General features: G+C 39.8%; 1 protein-coding gene across 15 annotated transcripts in view, besides 4 other annotated features; it reads right to left on the reverse strand.

The window, feature by feature from the left end:
* Positions 1-17906, reverse strand: part of SIK3 (SIK family kinase 3) — a 255027-nt gene that overhangs the window by 206983 nt on the left and 30138 nt on the right. The window lies entirely within an intron of this gene.
* Positions 7929-7978: a silencer, noted in NCBI's record as "silent region_3928". NCBI's record gives its function as "represses an Ori minimal core promoter by ATAC-STARR-seq in GM12878 lymphoblastoid cells {active_cell/tissue: GM12878}" and the evidence as "EXISTENCE:reporter gene assay evidence [ECO:0000049][PMID:35858748]".
* Positions 12855-12964: an enhancer, noted in NCBI's record as "active region_5562". NCBI's record gives its function as "activates an Ori minimal core promoter by ATAC-STARR-seq in GM12878 lymphoblastoid cells {active_cell/tissue: GM12878}" and the evidence as "EXISTENCE:reporter gene assay evidence [ECO:0000049][PMID:35858748]".
* Positions 13145-13244: an enhancer, noted in NCBI's record as "active region_5563". NCBI's record gives its function as "activates an Ori minimal core promoter by ATAC-STARR-seq in GM12878 lymphoblastoid cells {active_cell/tissue: GM12878}" and the evidence as "EXISTENCE:reporter gene assay evidence [ECO:0000049][PMID:35858748]".
* Positions 14026-14226: a silencer, noted in NCBI's record as "peak1487 fragment used in MPRA reporter construct". NCBI's record gives its function as "represses an SCP1 promoter by STARR-seq MPRAs in K562 erythroleukemia cells {active_cell/tissue: K562}" and the evidence as "EXISTENCE:reporter gene assay evidence [ECO:0000049][PMID:32103011]".

Consider the following 17906-nt stretch of genomic DNA (forward strand, 5'->3'; position numbering starts at 1 on the left):
CTATAATTATTTCAAAATAAGCTGGGTGTGGTGGCTCATGCCTGTAATCCCAGTACTTTGGGAGGCAGAGGCGGGCAGATCACTTGAGGTCAGGAGTTCGAGACCAGCCTGGCCAACAGGGTGAAACCCCATTTCCACTAAAAATACAAAAATTAGCCAGGCGTGGTGGCACACGCCTGTAATCCCAGCTACTCAGGAGGCTTGAGGCAGGAGAATCGCTTGAACCTGGGAGGCAGAGGTTGCAGTGAGCCGAGATCACACCACTGCACTCCAGCCTGGGCAACAAGAGTGAGACTTCATCTCAAAAAAAATAAATTAAATAAATAAATAAACAGATAAATAAATAAATAGTTTTTTTTTAATGGATCTTAAAGGAGAGGCAAAATTTCAAAAGGTAAAATGTTCTGGGTAGATACAAACATAAAATGCAATTCACATTATAGGACTCACAACTAGGCCAGGTAAGCTACACAGCTCATTCTAGGATATAGTGGAAGATAAGGTAGAAAAGGTAACCAGAGTCAGACTGCAGAAGAGTCCTGTGATGGTTAATTTTATGTGCCAAGTTGACTAAGCTAAGGAATGGCCCAGACAGCTGATAAAACATTTCTAGGTGGGTCTCTGAGGGTATTTCTGCAAGAGATTAGCATTTGAATCAGTAAACTAAATAAAGAAGACCCACACTCACCAATGAGGGTGGGCGTCATAATCTGTTTACCCTTTTCCACCCAGAGAGAGCAAACGGCAGAGGAAGAGCAAATTCACTCTTTCTTCTTGAGCTGGGATATCCATCTTCTCCCACTCTTGGACATCAAAGCTCCTGGTTCTTGGGTCTTTGGACTCCAGGACTTACACCAGCACACCACCCCTTCCCAATTCCCAGGCCTTCAGCCTTGATTCCCCTGGTTCTCAGGACCTCAGACTCCAACTTAATTACACCACCAGCTTTCCTGGTTCTCCAGGTTGCACATGGCCTATCATAGGATTTCTCGGCCTCCATGATCACATGAATCACATGAGCCAACTTCCATAATAAACCTCCTCTTATACCTATCTATGTATCTATTATATATATAAAATAAACCTCTTCTATATCTATAGATATAGATATGGAAACTTATTATGAAGGTTTTGGGGTTTTTTTCCTTGTTTTTTGTTTTTTGAGACCGAGTCTCCCTCAGTCACCCAGGCTGGAGTGCAATGGCGCAATCTCAGCTCACTGCAACCTCCACCTCCTGGGTTCAAGTGATTGTCTGCCTCAGCCTTCCAAATAGCTGGGATTTACAAGTGCACACCACCATGCCCGGCTAATTTTTGTATTTTTAATAGAGATGGGGTTTCAACATGTTGGCCGACCTGGTCTCAAACTCCTGACCTCAGGTGATCTGCCCGCCTCAGCCTCCCAAAACGCTGGGATTACAGGCATGAGCTACAACGCCTGGCCTATAGAGGTTTATTACAGAAATCCATCTATCCAGGCCGGGCGTGGTGGCTCATGCCTGTAATCCCAGCACTTTGGAAGGCTGAGGCAGGTGGATCACGAGGTCAGGAGTTTGAGATCAGCCTGGCCAACATGGTGAAATCCCGTCTCTAATAAAAATGCAAAAATTAGCCGGTCGTGGTGGCAGGCGCCTGTAATCCCAGCTACTCAGGAGGCTGAGGCAGGAGAATTGCTTGAAACCGGAAGGCGGAAGTTGCAGTTTGCAAGATAGTGCCACTGGACTCGACTGGGCAACAAGAGTGAAACCCTGGGAAAAAAAAAGAGAAAAAAAGAAAGGAAAGAAATCTCTCTCTCTCTCTCTGGAGAATCCTAATACAAGTCCAGAATGACAAGCTAAAACTTGGAACTTTCCTTGTATATGATGGGGTATTTTGCGAGGATTTTTTATAATGCATGAGAAAAGTCAAAGTAAGGCTTTATAAATATTAATATCATAGCAGTAGGCAGGAGAGACTGCAGCGAACCTAAAGGTAGAAAGACCAGTTACTATTGCAGTAGCCCAGGCATGGTGGGGTGTTAAGGGTTGGCAGTAAAACCTGACCATAAGGGGCTTAAGAGTTTAATACCCTGAAATCCTCTATAAAGAGTCTATCTCCGGCATTCATTCTGAGCTCTCTATCATGTTTACAATAAAGAAATCTCTTCTCTGAATCACATTTTAACATTTCAATCTTCAGCAGGTTTATAAGAAGAAAGTGGAAAAGGCAGAAACAGCTCTCTTTATTATCCCCAACAAAACAAAAGTCTTATAGCAGCCTTTGTGGCCTTGGATTGTATCCCTTTAAGCAAAAATAAATCAGAAGTCCTCTTATGCTCTGGGATTAACCTCCTTCCAATGACTACATGCTGTCAGTTACAATCTACCTATTGCAGATAGGAAGCTTCATTGTAATAGCAAATTTCTGGTTGAAGAGCTTGCTAAGGTCCAATCCCAAACAGCTTTGTGGCTCTAATGCCGTAGTTTCAGAAAGCAATACTTTCCAGATGCATGCTGCTGACTGCTGCAATGCAGGAGGACCTGGCACTTTATTCTGGGCTACACAAACAGCACATCTGATTGTTTACTGGGTCCCACTGTGTACTACATACTGATGACACAAAGATGATTAAAATAGCCCACCTTCAAAAAAGCCACAGTCTATTGGGAAATATACACAAAAAAGTAACTGCAGGCCGGGCGCGGTGGCTCATGCCTGTAACCCCAGCACTTTGGGAGGCCGAGGTGGGTGGATCACAAGGTCAGGAGTTCAAGACCAGCCTGGCCAACACGGTAAAACCCTGTCTCTACTAAAAATACAAAAATTAGCTGGGCATAGTGGCATACACCTATAATCCCAGCTACTCAGGAGGCTGAAGCAGGAGAATTGCTTGAACCCAGGAGGCGGAGGTCACAGTGAGCCTAGATCATGCCACTACACTCCAGCCTGGGCAACAGAGCAAGACTCTGTCTTGGAAAAAAAAAAAAAAAGTAAAGTGGCAAATGCTATTATAGGTAAGTATGTAAGAAATGCTTTGAGAATAATAATAATAGCTATATTTATGAAGTACTTAGTAATATGCAAGCCCTTTCAATGCATTTTCCCTACATTAATTCACTTAACCCTCACAGCAAGACTAATATTACTCATTTGTTATAAATGAGAAAACTGAGACACAAAAAAGTTAAACAGTTTCATCCCAGTTATATACAACTACCTTAATAACAAAGGCAGTCTGGCTCCAAACTCAGGGATTTTAACTTACCACTATATTGCCTCTTTCCCCCCTCCCACCCTACCCCCTCCACTGAGACAAGGTCTTACTCTGTCACCCAGGCTGGAGCACAATCATGGCTCACTGCAGCCTCAAACTCCTGGGCTCAAGTGATCCTTCTCCCTCAGCATCCAGAGTAGCTGAAACCACAGGCATGTGCCACCATGCCCAGCTAATTTTTTTAGTTTTTGTAGAGATGGGGTCTTGCTGTATTGCCCAGGCTGGTCTCGAACTCCTGAGCTCAAGCAATCCTCCCTACTTGGCCTTCCAAAGTGCTGGGATTACAGATGTGAGCCACCACACCCAGCATTTTCTTTCTATTTTTTTCAAAGAGACAAGGTCTTGCTATGCTGCCCAGGCTGGCCTCAAGCAATCCTCCTGCTTCAGACTCCCAAGTAGCTAGGACTGTGGGTATATACCTCTCACCAGCTTATATTGCCTCTTATAATGAGGGACTAACTAATGTTGCCTTGGATGGCAGTTAAGACTAAAGAGAAAAGAGCGTAGAAGATATATTTGAGACAGACCACTGAAGAATCACCAGGAATTCACCAGACAGACTAGATGTTTGGGGTGGAAGGCTGAGTGCTTATTAGCAGGGAGTGCTTGAGGGGACAACCCTCTAAGCAAAAAGAAGGCAGGTACAGCAACAGCAGGTCAGGGACAAAGGTATGAGATTTAGAGTACAGGGTGCAGTCACAGAACAGTCAGTAGTCTGCATATACTGTAGGACCCATGGGTCCCAGAACAAGAGGGGAGGCTCTAAAGATGACTGTGGTGTAGTGGGCCTTGGAGGCTTTATATTTCAGGTAAGAGAGACCCATCAGAGGCCTTTCTGCTGAGTGATATGAGCAGATCTACCTACTATAAAGATAACTCAGGATGAAAGGTACAAGATGGCCAAGAGGCCAGGAGAGCAATTAGGAGATTACCACAATAATTGTGTCAAGAAATGATAAGGAGTGGTTGGATGCAAGCACATGTTTCGGAAGCACAATCAACAGTACTTGATAGGCCAGGTGTGGTGGTTCACACCTGTAATCCCAGCACTTTGGCAGAGGTGGGAGGATCACTGGAGCCCAAGAATTCAAGACCAGCTTAGACAACATAGTGAGACCCCATCTCTATAAATAATTTTAAAATAAATAAAAATTAAGATGTTTAAAATGAAAATACAAAATAACAGTACTTGCTGACTGGTTGCATATGAAGGATAAGGAAGACAGGCAGACAGGCAAAGCTATCCTGAGGCTCTTTTTCTGGGCAGAACAGGACAAAAAGGGGATCAGCATTTAAAAGGAATAATAATAATAGCAACTAATATTTATTAAGATATTAGTATATACCAGCACTATGCTAAATACTTTTACAAGAATTATCTCATTTAATATTGATAAAATAAGTTCATTATCACCCTTTCATAAATGGAGAAATGGAGGCTTAAAGAAAATAAGTAGTTTATTCACGGACACAGTCACTAAGCACTGAAGCCACAGAAAGACTCTGACTTTAGATAAACTGAGTTTAAGATATCTGGGGAGGCATCCAAATGTAGATTTCTAACAGGCAGCTCAATATTTTTGTACGAACTTAAGCTAAGAGTACCACAGATACAGATTTATAATAACAATGTAACTATACTGTTGTTACTATTCCTATTATTAGCATTTATTAAGCACTTAGTGTACATGAGACACTATTTTAAATGTTTTACACACATTATTCATTTACTCCACACAATCCTGAGATAGGTAGCTCTAGTCTCCCCACTCTTACTTACAGAGAAAGAAACAGAAACATAGAGACAAAGTAAATCATTCCGTGTCTCTTAGGGAGAAAATAATGGAGCCAGATTCAAATCCTGGTCTCTCTGGTTTGGATGAGGGAACAGAAGAGAAGGTGGGGCTACAGGTGGGTTGGATAGAGGAGCCAAGGACAAAATCCAGAAGAATATAATCGCTTAACAAGTAGGCAGAGAAACAGGCACTATCTCATAGGATGGTTGTAAAGATAAGTAAAAGCACACAAAGGACTTGGCTAGGGCCACAGTTTGAATGTCTCCGCCTCTAAAAGTCAGATGTTGCCAACGTGATGGTATTAAGAAGTCGGGCCTTTAAGACATCATTAAGTCATGAGGGTTCCTCCGTTCATGAATGCAATTAGGTGCCCTTAAAAATGGGCTTGATGGAGGGAGTTACTCCCTTTTTGCCCTTCTGCCTTCTGCCATGTGAGGACACAGCATTCAAGGCATCGTCTAAGAAGCAGAGACCAAATCCCCATCAATGAACCTGCCAGTGCCCTCCCAGCCTCCAGAACTATGAGAAAATAAAATTCTGTTATTTATAAATTACCCAGTGTCAGGTATTCTCCTATAGCAGCACAAAAGAACTGACAGCAACCAAAGCTCTATCAGTTTGGAGGATGTGCTACAGGATGAGGAGACAGAAGAGAACCAACAGGGAAGTAGATATATTAAATGGAAAAGGATTAGTTAATAAAACAAAGTCCCTGGATTAAGAAAATGTGGCACATATACACCATGGAATACTATTTAGCCATAAAAAAGGATGAGTTCATGTCCTTTGTAGGGACATGGATGAAACTGGAAACCATCATTCTCAGCAAACTATCGCAGGGACAAAAAATCAAACACCGCATGTTCTCACTCATAGGTGGGAACTGAACAATGAGAACACTCGGACACAGGAAGGGGAACATCACACACTGGGGCCTGTTGTGAGGTGGAGGGAGTGGGGAGGGATAGCATTAGGAGATATACCTTATGTAAATGATGAGTTAATGAGTGCAGCACACCAACATGGCACATGTATACATATGTAACAAACCTGCACATTGTGCACATGTGCCCTAGAACTTAAAGTATAATAAAAATATATAGATAGATATAGATATAGATATAGATATAGATATAGATATAGATATAGATATAGATATAGATATAAAGTCCCCAAGAAGAAGTGGCAGAATGGGATCAGGACAGTGCAGGTGAACACACAGAGCTTCTATCTCACCTGCTAACGAAAGTATAAACTTGTCTGGAGGATGGTCTGGCCAACTCTTACCAACATTTCAAATATGCCCATCTTTTGATCTCCTCTTCTAAAACTTGGCTGTGCATATATACCAACCAAGGATATACCTACAAATTCAAGGATGGTCCACCTTTGGCAATATTGGTGAAAATGAAAAATGGAAGGAACTTAAAAGTCCATCAATAGGGGAAACGTGAAATAAAGTAATACACATCTATATAATAACATTTTACATAGCCATTTAAAAGAAACAGGTCAATACGCTGACATGAAAATATTTCTATAGTTTATTTTTTAATTAACCATTTCTTTAGAGATAATTGTAGAGTCACAGGCAGTTGTAAGAAACAACAGAGATCTCCTGTACCCTTTACCTTGTTTCCCTCAATGGAGACATCTTGTGAAACTATCGTTCAATATCAAAATTAAATTTTTAAAAAACTTAGATAATACTACATACATTACCCTTGTGTATTTTAAGTGTCCACAAAATGTGTACATGTACAGAAGAAGATTTAACTACTAGCAGTTGACACCTGGAAGTATAAAACGTTAAAGGAGGAAAAAATGGAAGACGTATACCTTTACTTTATGTACATCTGCACTAATTTTTCTTACGAAGTACATAAATTACTCCTAGAATATACAAGGCAAACAGGTAGAGGGGTTAGATTTTGAAATAAGTACAGGCACCTATTCTTTTAACCAAGGGAGTTTAATATTTGGAAGCAGTGGGGAGGAAAAGTGAAAAGGATCACACTGAAACCCTCTATTTCCTCAATTTAGTAGACTGGCAAGCTGTGATTCATTCAATAGGAACAAGTACTCGGTCACAGACTACTCCATGCCAGGCTCCGTCCTAGGCCATGGAAATTAACCAGACAGGTATGATTTCTGACCTCGAGGAGCTTAGAGCCTACCAACAAAGGTAGGCATTAACAAAAAACATTACACAGTTATACTCACCATTACAGTAGAGCACAGCAGTTTAGAACGTGGGCACTGGGGTCTGCCCGGGTTCAAATTCCAACTCTGCTACCAAATGGCTGTGTGACTTTGGACAAGTGACTTAACATTCCTCACTTCAGTTTCCTCATCTATAAGATGCAGATAATTCTAGGTCCTACTTATTTACCCACCTATACAACTCATAGGGTTGCTATGAAAACCAAAAAACTTCCTATGTGTAAGTGCTAAGAACAGTCTCTGCAACTCATAAACACTCAAAGGTTGCTGCTATTATTGTTGTTACCATCATTACTATTAATAATTTCAGAGGGAATCTAATCTACCTTTAGGCAAATGGAAGGTCAGGGAAAACTTTCTTGAGAAAGGAACACATAAGCTAAGTCCTTAAGATAAATACAAATTAAACATGCCAAGAAAAAAGGTGTCCAGCAGAGAAAAGAGCATATACAAAGCCCTGTGCTAAGAATGAGCTTGGCATGTGAAGGATCTGAAAAAGGGCCAGTGAAGCTAAGGCGCTAAGAGGACAGAGATGAGGCTAGAAAACCAGAAAGATCCTGTTAAACTTAAGAATTTTACCTCTGGCCAGGTGCAGTGGCTCACACCTGTAATCCCAGCACTTTGGCAGGCTGAGGCAGGCAGATCATGAGGTCAGGAGTTCAAGACCAGCCTGACCAACATGGTGAAACCCCATCTCTGCTAAAAATACAGAAAGTAGCGAGGCATGGTGGCATGCACCTGTAATCCCAGCTACTCAGGAGGCTGAGGCAGGAGAATCGCTTGAACCCAGGAGGCGGAAGCTGCAGTGAGCCGAGATCACACCACTGCACTCCAGCCCGGGCAACAGAGCGAGACTCCATCTCAAAAAAAAAAAAAAAAATTACCTCCATCTTTATAATGAACAGTATTGTACAGGAAATAACATAATAGATTTGTTGTTTTCTCTCTTTTTAAAGGTCACTCTGCTGAAGTGTAGAATCAGCTGCAATGGAGGAAGGTGACACGAACCAAAGGAAAATGTGGAAAGATTTAGAAAGAACTGTCATTCTGGTGAAGGAGAAATGAAATCAACTCCAAACAAGTGAGAAAACTACTAAAGAGAATAATAAGCACAGATGAGGCTAAAACCCATGGATTAGCAAAAGAACAAATTAATATGATGAAATCATTTCTTCAGGCCCTAGAGCGGGAACACAGAAAAAGGGCAGTACTGTTAATCCACAGCTGGAGATCTGCATGGCATGTGGGAAAGAAGAACAAAGATGCAGGAGAACTGCGGATACTGATGACTCATTGAAAGTGACCAATTATGGCATCCATATGGGATAAAGTGATGCCAGGAAGAATGTCACAAATTGGGAGACAATGGAGATTTAAGGGGCTGGCGGCCTCAGTGAAATGAGAAAATAAACTCAGCAAATGGAAGAACTGAAAAGACAGGAAATTGTGTTCAAAGAGAAAAATTTACAGATTTGTAATTCCAGAAGTGGACGTTTGGCCACAGAAATAAATTGCTACAGAGAAGTGGAAGAACAGATAGCTGGGAGAAGAAAGACCAAGTCAGATGAGATTAAGATGCTGGACAAGTAATCAACATGGACATTAAAGGCATACAAAATCACAGAGTAAGAGAAAATGATTTAGAAGGAATAGGAATTAAAGTCTCAGTTACAGTCTTAATATCACACTATAAAGAATGTGTTTTTAATTATATGGAATAAAACAGGATGTCTTGCTAAAAACAAAGCTTAATCTATTTGTTTAGCCAAATAATTTTCAAGGACTTCCCTGAATAGCCATTCCTGACAAAAGCTCTTAGAGAGACAAAGAAAGAAGCTTTCTTAACTTGATGATTATTTGTCACAACCAGACAGCAAGCAACATATTTAATGGTAAAAAACTAAAGGCATAAACAAGCCACAGGCTAGAAGAAAATCTTTGCAAAATACCTATCTGGTGAAGCACTGGTATCCAAAATATACAAAGAACTCTTAAAACTCAACAATAAGAAAACAAACATCCCAATTTTAAAATGGGCAAAAGATATGATCAGATACCTCACCGATATATACAGATGGCAAATAGTGTATGAAAAGATGCTAAACATCATATGTTACTAGGCTACTGCAAATTAAAACAACAACGAGACACCACATACCTATTAGAATGGCTAAAATTCAAAGCAGTGACAACATCAAATGCTGGTAAGGATATAGAACAACAGGAACTCTCATTTACTGCTGGTGGGAAAGCAAAATAGTACAGCCACTTTGTAAGACAGTTTGGCAGTTTCTAGAAAACTAAACATTCTCTTACTATATGATCACGCAGTTCTGTCTTTGGTATTTAGCCAAATGAGCTGAAAACATATATCCACACAAAACCTGCAGACAGATGTTTATAGCAGCTTTATTCATAGTTGAAAAAAGTTGAAAGCAACCAACAAGTTCCTTAATAGGTGAATGGGTAAATAAACAGTGGAAATCCAGACAATGGAATATTAGTGCTAAAAACAATGAGCTATCAAACCATGAAAAAACTTGGAGGAAACCTAAATGCACTTTACTAAGTGAAAAAAAGTCAATCTGAAAAGGCTACATGCAATAATGCCATTCTGGTAACATCAAAACTATGGAGACAGTAAAAAGATCAGTGATTGGCCAGGCGAGGTGGCTCATGCCTGTAATCCCAGCACTTTGAGAGGCCGAGGCAGGCGGATCACCTGAGATCAGGAGTTCGAGACCAACCTGGCCAACATGGTGAAACCCCATCTCTACTAAAAATATAAAAATTAGCCAGGCGTGGTGGCGCATGCCTGTAATCCCAGCTACTCGGGAGGCTGAGGGAGGAGAATCGCTTGAACCCGAGAGGCAGAGTTTGCAGTGAGCCGAGAGCATGCCATTGCACTCCAGCCTGGATGACAAGAGCAAAACTCCATCTCAAAAAAAAAAAAAAAAATCAGTGATTGCCAGGGACTGAGGAGAGGAAGGGATGAATAGGTACAGCACAGGGAATTCTTAGGGTAGTGAAATTATTCTGTATGATACTGTAATAATGGATATGCAACATTACAAATTTGTGAAAACTCTTACAAATGTGCAACACAAACTATGGATTCTAATGTAAACTATGAATTTTAGTTAATGTACCAATATTGCTCATCAATTGTAGCAAATGTACCACACTAATGCAAGATGTTAATATCAGGGAAAATCGTGAGGACAGGCAGAGATAATGGGATATGTGGGATTTCTCCGTACTTTCTGCTCAACTTTTCTGTAAACTCTAAACTTCTCAACATAAAGCCTGGCCAGATGCTGTGGCTCACACCTGTAATATCAGAACTTTTGGAGGCTGAGGTGAAGGGATCGCTTGAGGCCAGGAGTTTGAGACCAGGCAGGGCTAACACAGTAAGACCTCGTCTCTATCAAAAATTAAAAATTAGTTGGGCATGGTGGCACACACCGGTAGTCCCAGCTACTCAGGAGGCTGAGGCAGGAAGATGGCTTGAGCCCAGAAGTTCAGGGCTGTGGTAAGCTGCGATCATACCACTGCACTCCTGGGCAACAGAGCAAGACCCCATCTCAAAAAATAGATAAAATAAAGCCTATTCATTAAAAAAAAAATTTTAAGGTATTACCATTTGAGTCACACAAGAGAAGATAATGTCTGTTGTGTGTGTGTGTGAGCGAACACGCATGTGGTAAAGCAATATATTCGAGAGGTTCAGAGTGCAAACTCTGCTTGGGCTCAGTCTGGCTCTTCCACTTAATGGTTGCGTCACTTTGGGTAAGTTATAAACTTCTCTAAGTGTCAGTTTCTTCACTGGCAAATTGGGGATAATAATCATCATGGAGTTTTAAAGATTAAACGAGTTCACAGATGTAAAAGCACTGACCAGAACAAATTAAGTACTCAATAAATCTTAGTTCCCTGTAACTCAACATAAGGTCTATGAACCCATAAGTCAACATTACCTGGGAGCTTGTCAAAATGCAGACTCTCAGGCCACTCCAGCCCTACTGAGTCTTCATTTTAATAAGATCCTCAGGTAATTGCTGTGCATATTTAAGTTGAAAAGCACTGTATTCGCTGGTATGATTATTATCAATCATAAGCTATTCTTTGAAAATGTCAATAAATAAGCAGAAATATTAGAAGAGTCCAAATTATTATTTGCTGATGATACGTTACAAAAAAAGAGAATCAATTATAATAGTTAATGAAATTTTGAAACATATTCTAAAGATACAGTAATTAAAACAAAGTATAGGCACATAAATAAATAAAGAGTGTATGTTAATATGACCGTTTCAAATAAGTGAGTAAATGATAAACTGATAGGGCAATTGGGTATAGATTTTTTTTTTTTAAATAAAAAAGTCAAGCCAGGCACAGTGGTTCACGCCTGTAATCCCAGCACTTTGGGAGGCGTAGGTAGGCAGATCATTTGAGGTCAGGAGTTCAAGACCAGCCTGGCCAACATGGTGAAACCCCATCTCTACTAAAAATACAAAAATTAGCCAGGCGTGAACTCCACTGTGCCCGGCCTGCTAATGTTATATTTTCAGTAGGAAATAGGCTAATATTTCAGCAGGCTAATATTTTCAGTAGGAATTACAAGCTTTCTGATTTTCCCTCGAAAATTACTTAACCCTTTGGAAATATATTCTCACGTTATCCAAATTTTCCTAAGAATTCTTAAAGTAAAAATATGTCAAATTTTGTCCTCCCCAAATGGGCCACAACGTGCATTTCCATTGGCCCTCTGATCAAACCTAGTTCCAGTTTAGTTTCAACAATGAACCATCTAAGCCAGGCAAGAAATTTAACAACATAACACCAAATATCGGCCCAAAATGGAACCCATAGGTCCAAAATATGCCTAATAGTAACAGACAGCAATTGTTTAAAAGTAATTGCAAAGAAATACAGTAAGTCCAAATTCACTTTAGTTTCAATTCTGAATCATTTCTCAATCTCTAAACTGGAAAAAAAAAATTTAGCCATTTGTCACCTCTGACTAAATACAGGCTAAATGCAGGCTTCAGTCCCCAAATCACTAAGTGTGGAAAAAGTGCATGCCTTCAAGAAAAGTGCCAACGGGAGGATTTTCCCAGAAAGAGTGGTTCACATACACAGTAGGAAAATCTTGTATAGGTAACTTGGCTACCAATTTAATTCCCTCAACCAATTTGGAAACTAATGGAAGTAAATGACTAAGAACTAAAATACATCAGACAGCATGGAAAAAAACATACGTATTAAAAGCACACAATGTGATTTAAGTTTGTTTTTAATTGCCTTTTGCTGAAGTTGGAATATTAAATTCTTTTGCTGCAGATAAATCAGAAATCAGCTTTACTGGTTTCCTATAATGTTGCACTTAGAAATGTTCAGCTGCTATAATGAATTACATGACTACTTAAAGGGGTTTCTTACTCCTTGTACAATATTTAAAAGAATGTATTACATGTATATCTGCCTTATACTAACTAATCTTCATATCATTGGGTCTAAATTATTAAAGTGATATAAACTACCAGTTATTGGAATTAAACACCCTCCCCTTTCTCTAAAACTGTTAGCTTCAATGAGTACCCACGTCTCAGAAGCTATGACCATAACTACACTGAAACCATAAATTAGTGAGATTGGAATTCCCCCACAAAGGAGGGGGAAGATTCAATACCTTTTCTCATAGCTGTAGCAGGCAATACTCTCTTGGTTTCTCAGAACCACTAAGTACGGCAGTCTCCTCTGCCCAATGTAAAGTCAGCTGCCAGGCTATCTGTAACCAAACCGTAGAACCTAGTTTCCCTTTCTGAAAAGGTAAATAATCCTTCTGGCCTGATTTACCAATAAAGATGTGAGTAAAAAGAAATTATCAAGGAGAGCATACCCAGGCTTTAACTTCTTAATGAAGTTTCTTTTTTTTTTTTTTTTTTAGATGGAATCTCACCCTGTTGCCCAGGCTGGAGTGTAATGGCATGATCTCGGCTCACTGCAACCTCTGTCTCCCGGGCCTCAGCCTCCCAAGTAGCTGGAATTACAGGCATCCACCACTACGCCTGGCTAATTTTTTGTATTTTTAGTAGAGACGGGGTTTCACCTTGGCCAGGCTGTTCTCGAACTCCTGATCTCAAGTGATTCGCCCCACTTCAGCTTCCCAAAGCTAGGATTACAGGCATGAGCCACCACGCCTGGCCTGAAGTTTCTTAAGATTCCCCATCTTATAAGAAAAAGACAAACCTTGTTGGTAATGTTAATACCAATAAGTACAAATTGCACGCTCCATATCTCATATTCAGTCAGAAAAAAAAAATTAGCCTTCAGGGACACTGATAACTTTATTATATGTTAATGAATACAGTATCAAAAACATCTGGAAAAAGTACCCCTGTTAAAGAGCACAGCATTAAGAATTCACAGAGGCTGCTCAGGATAAAGCCAGGTCAAAACTAAGGTCAACATCCTTCAGGGTTTTCAATGTCAGGGTCATTCATGTACTGAGACTTAAACTTGATCCTGAGTATAATTTGTCAGTAACTGCCAAGAATTTAAAAAAGGAAAAACAATAATTTAGAGTGCCTGTATTATCTAATTTATAGTAGACTTCATTAACACCAGAGAAACATCACAATTCCTATACCCCTACAACTTTTTAATTATCTCTTCAAGACATCTTAAATGAAAACAGCATATTACTTATTGCCTCTCACTCTTAACTCCTTTTTCTTTATTCTTTGAGATTGCTGACTCAAAGCCATCTTGGGCAATAAAGACTGGTTCAGCATTCTTCCAACTCATCTAAAAAACATTTTACATTTAGTGGCAGTTCAGTCTTTAACCACAGATCACATTTCTTTTCTACTGATAAGCACTGTCACAAATCAGAATTAACAATACAATTTTAGCATATTATCTTATCAGACTTCATAATTCTCCACTGCTGCCTAGATCTTGATTTTTCAACTCTTATACCTACAACGGCTGCTTTTTAAAAAGGCATCTTAAAACAGGTCTTTCATTTAAGTTCTTTCTACAGCAAAGGCAGGGTAATTAGTAGCTAAATGGCTTACAAATTGAGCTCTCTTCAAACACTAAAAATATTACCTAAACTAATATATCTGAACTGCACTTGACTTTTAATTGCTAAAATTCTCGTGTTAGATAAAACTCAGGAATTGATCCCATAGAAAGTAACTTTGTCGGCCAGGCGGTGGCTCACGCCTGTAATCCCAGCACTTTGGGAAGCCGAGGTGGGCAGATCACGAGGTCAGGAGTTCAAAACCAGCCCGGTCAGCATGGTGAAACCCCATCTCCACTAAAAATACAAAAAATTAGCTGGGCAAGGTGGCACACGCCTGTAGTCCCAGCTACTCGGGAGGCTGAGGCAGAAGAACTGCTTGAACCCAGCAGGCAGAGGTTGCAGCGAGCTGAGATTGCACCACTGCACTCCAGCCTGGGTGACACAGGGAGACTCCATCTCAAAAATAATAATAATAATAATAATAACAATAATAATAATAATAATTTCGTCTCTAGTGATTCTTACCCAACATAAAATGAGACGTAGCTTGGTTTCTTCCCTTGTTCTGATAAACCCCAAACTACTTTATTATTTTAAAAAATGAAAGAACAAGTGAAGACTGGATATTAAATTTTAATTATAAACTATTTTAAACAGTAAAATTAAAAGTCCATTAGTCTATTAGAATAATCACAGTAAATACATCATGTTAATAAAAGAAATGAATTTTTCATTTTTTTTACAGCAAATCAGACAACTCAATAACTTTTGAAAACAATCCATGAAAACGAATGTTAAACCTGGCACTGTATTTCATTTGAGGGCATGGAAACTTTACAGTGACTTAAGACAAAATATTCTATACAGCGGAGTTGATCAAAATAAATGCTTTTTAAACACAAATTTAGTATCTTCAATATCTTCAAATTTAAAAATAACTTTCATAAATTGATTTTTTTTTTTTTTTGACACAGAGTCTCACACTGTTGGAGTGTAGTGGCACGATCTCAGCTCACTGCAACCACTACCTCCAGGATTCAAGCAATTCATCTGCCTCAGCCACCCTAGTAGCTGGTATTACAGGCATGCACCACCACACCTGGCTAATTTTTGTATTTTCAGTAGAGACAGGGCTTCACTCTGTTGGCCAGGCTGGTCTCGAACTCCTGGCCCCAAGTGATCTGCCCACCTCAGTCTCCCAAAGTGCTGCACAATTACAGGTGTGAGCCGCCAAACCTGGCCCATAAATTGATTTTAATGAAGTTTATTCCCTGAGCCAATATTTCTTTATTTATTTTTACTCCTATCAATCTAAAATTCCTGGTGTCTTATGCCAAGGAATCCGGTCTTCACTAGAATACTTTATTTTTCTTTTCTTTTCTTCTTTTTTTTTTTTTTGAGATGGAGTTTTGCTCTGTCACCCAGGCTGGAGTGCAGTGGTGTGACCTCAGCTCACTGCAACCTCCGCCTCCGGATTCAAGTGATTCTCCTGCCTCAGCCTCCTGAGTAGCTGGGATTACAGGCACACGCCACCATGTCTGGCTAATTTTTGTATTTTCATAGAGATGAGGTTTCACCATGTTGGTCAGGCTGGTCTCAAACTCCTGACCTTAAGTGATCCACCCAACTCGGCCTCCCAAAGTACTGGGATTACAGGCGTGAGCCACCGCACCTGGCCTCTAAAAACTCTTGCTCTTCAAAAGACACTGCTGAAAGAATGAAAAAATAAGCCATGGAATCGGAAAAAAAAAAAATCTTTGCAAAGCGTAAAGCATTTATATAACACAGGACTTGTATCCAGGATATATAAAGAATTCTCAATATTCAACTATAAAGAAACAATCCTTTTTTTTTTTTTTTTGGAAAGACAGGGTCTTGCTCTGTCACTCAAGTTGGAGTGCAATGGCACCATCACAGCTCACTGCAGCCTTAAACAGCTAGGCTCAAGTGATCCCCCCACCTTAAACTCCTGAATAGCTGGGACTAAAGGCACATGCCAAGCACCCAGCTAATTCTTAAGTTTTTTGTAGAGACAGAGTGTCGCTTGTTGCCCAGGGTGGTCTCGAACTCCTGGCTTCAAGTGGTCCTCCCACTTTGGCCTCCCAAAGTGCTGGGATTACAGGCATGCATGAGCCACTGTGCCCGGTCAGCCCATTTCTTTTAATGAGCAAAAGATCTGAACAAATGCTTCACCAAAGAAGATACACAGCATGAAAATAAGTACATAAAAAGATACTCAATATCATTAGTCATTAGGGAAATGTAAATTAAAACCACAAGATACCATGACACAACTATTGGAACAACTAAAATTTAAGATATATCATTTTAGCAATGGTAAGGATTTAAAGCAACTAGAACTCTCCTATCTCATATATTGCTAAAGAGAATATAAAATGGTACGGCAACTTTGGAAGACAATTTGGCAGTTTCTTTAAAAGTTAAACATAAACCTACCAACCATATGACCCAGCCATTCCACTGTAAGGTATTTACCTAAGAGAAATGAAAACATACATCTACGCAAAGCTGTACATGAAGTTCATAACAGCCTTATTCATAAAAGCAAGAAAACCAGACACAATCCAAATGTTCATCAATAGGTGAATGAATAAACAAATCTTGTTACATCCATACAATGTAACACTACTCAGATTACCACTCAGCAATAAAAAACAACAAACTCTGATACAAACAACAATAAATGAATCTTAAAGAATGCTGATGAAAGAAGAGTACATCCTAGATGAGGCCATTTATATGAAATTCCAGAAAAAGCAAAACTAACCTATGGTGACAGCAAATCAGTGGTTTTCTGGAAGTGGAGGAGGATGAGAATGAATGCAAACAGTGCTACTGTAACTTTCTGCGAGACTGAATTGTTCTGTATCTTGATTGTATGGTTATTAAATGGGTGTGTATATTTGTCAAAATTCAAATTGTAAACTTAAAATGGTTCAATCTTATTGAATGTAAATTATGCCTCAATAAAGTTGATTAAAAATATCAAAATGTGGCCAGGCACGGTGGCTCATGCCTGTAATCCCAGCACTTTGAGAGGCCAAGGCGGGAGGATCACTTGAGGTCAGGAGTTCGAAACCAGCCAGGCCAACATGGTGAAACCCCATCTCTACTAAAAATACAAAAATTAGCTGGGCATGGTGACAGGCACCTGTAGTCCAAGCTACTGGGGAGGTTGAGGCAGAATCGCTTCAACCCGGGAGGCGGAGGCTGCAGTGAGCCGAGATCGCGCCACTGCACTCCAGCCTGGGCAACAGAACAAGACCCTGTCTCAAAAATAAATAAATAAATAATTTGTAAAAAATAAATATTAATTCTGGTCCCTGAATAACTTTTGGAACACTGTGGAAATAACAAATTTATGTTAAAAAGAATGTAAAGGCTACAAAGTCAAGTTATACTCTCTATGCAAAAGCCTGCAACTAAGAATACACAATATTATCATCAAACCAAATTAATAAATACTTAGGTAGCTTAAGGGTCAAAAATGGTTCCCCACACCCCAAAAATGGCTCCTTAAGGTCTATAAGATCAAGCCCAAATGTCTCAACTAAAAATTCATGTCCTTTATGAAATGACC

The sequence above is a fragment of the Homo sapiens genome, chromosome 11 (genome assembly GCF_000001405.40).
Source record: "Homo sapiens chromosome 11, GRCh38.p14 Primary Assembly".
NCBI lineage: Eukaryota > Metazoa > Chordata > Mammalia > Primates > Hominidae > Homo > Homo sapiens.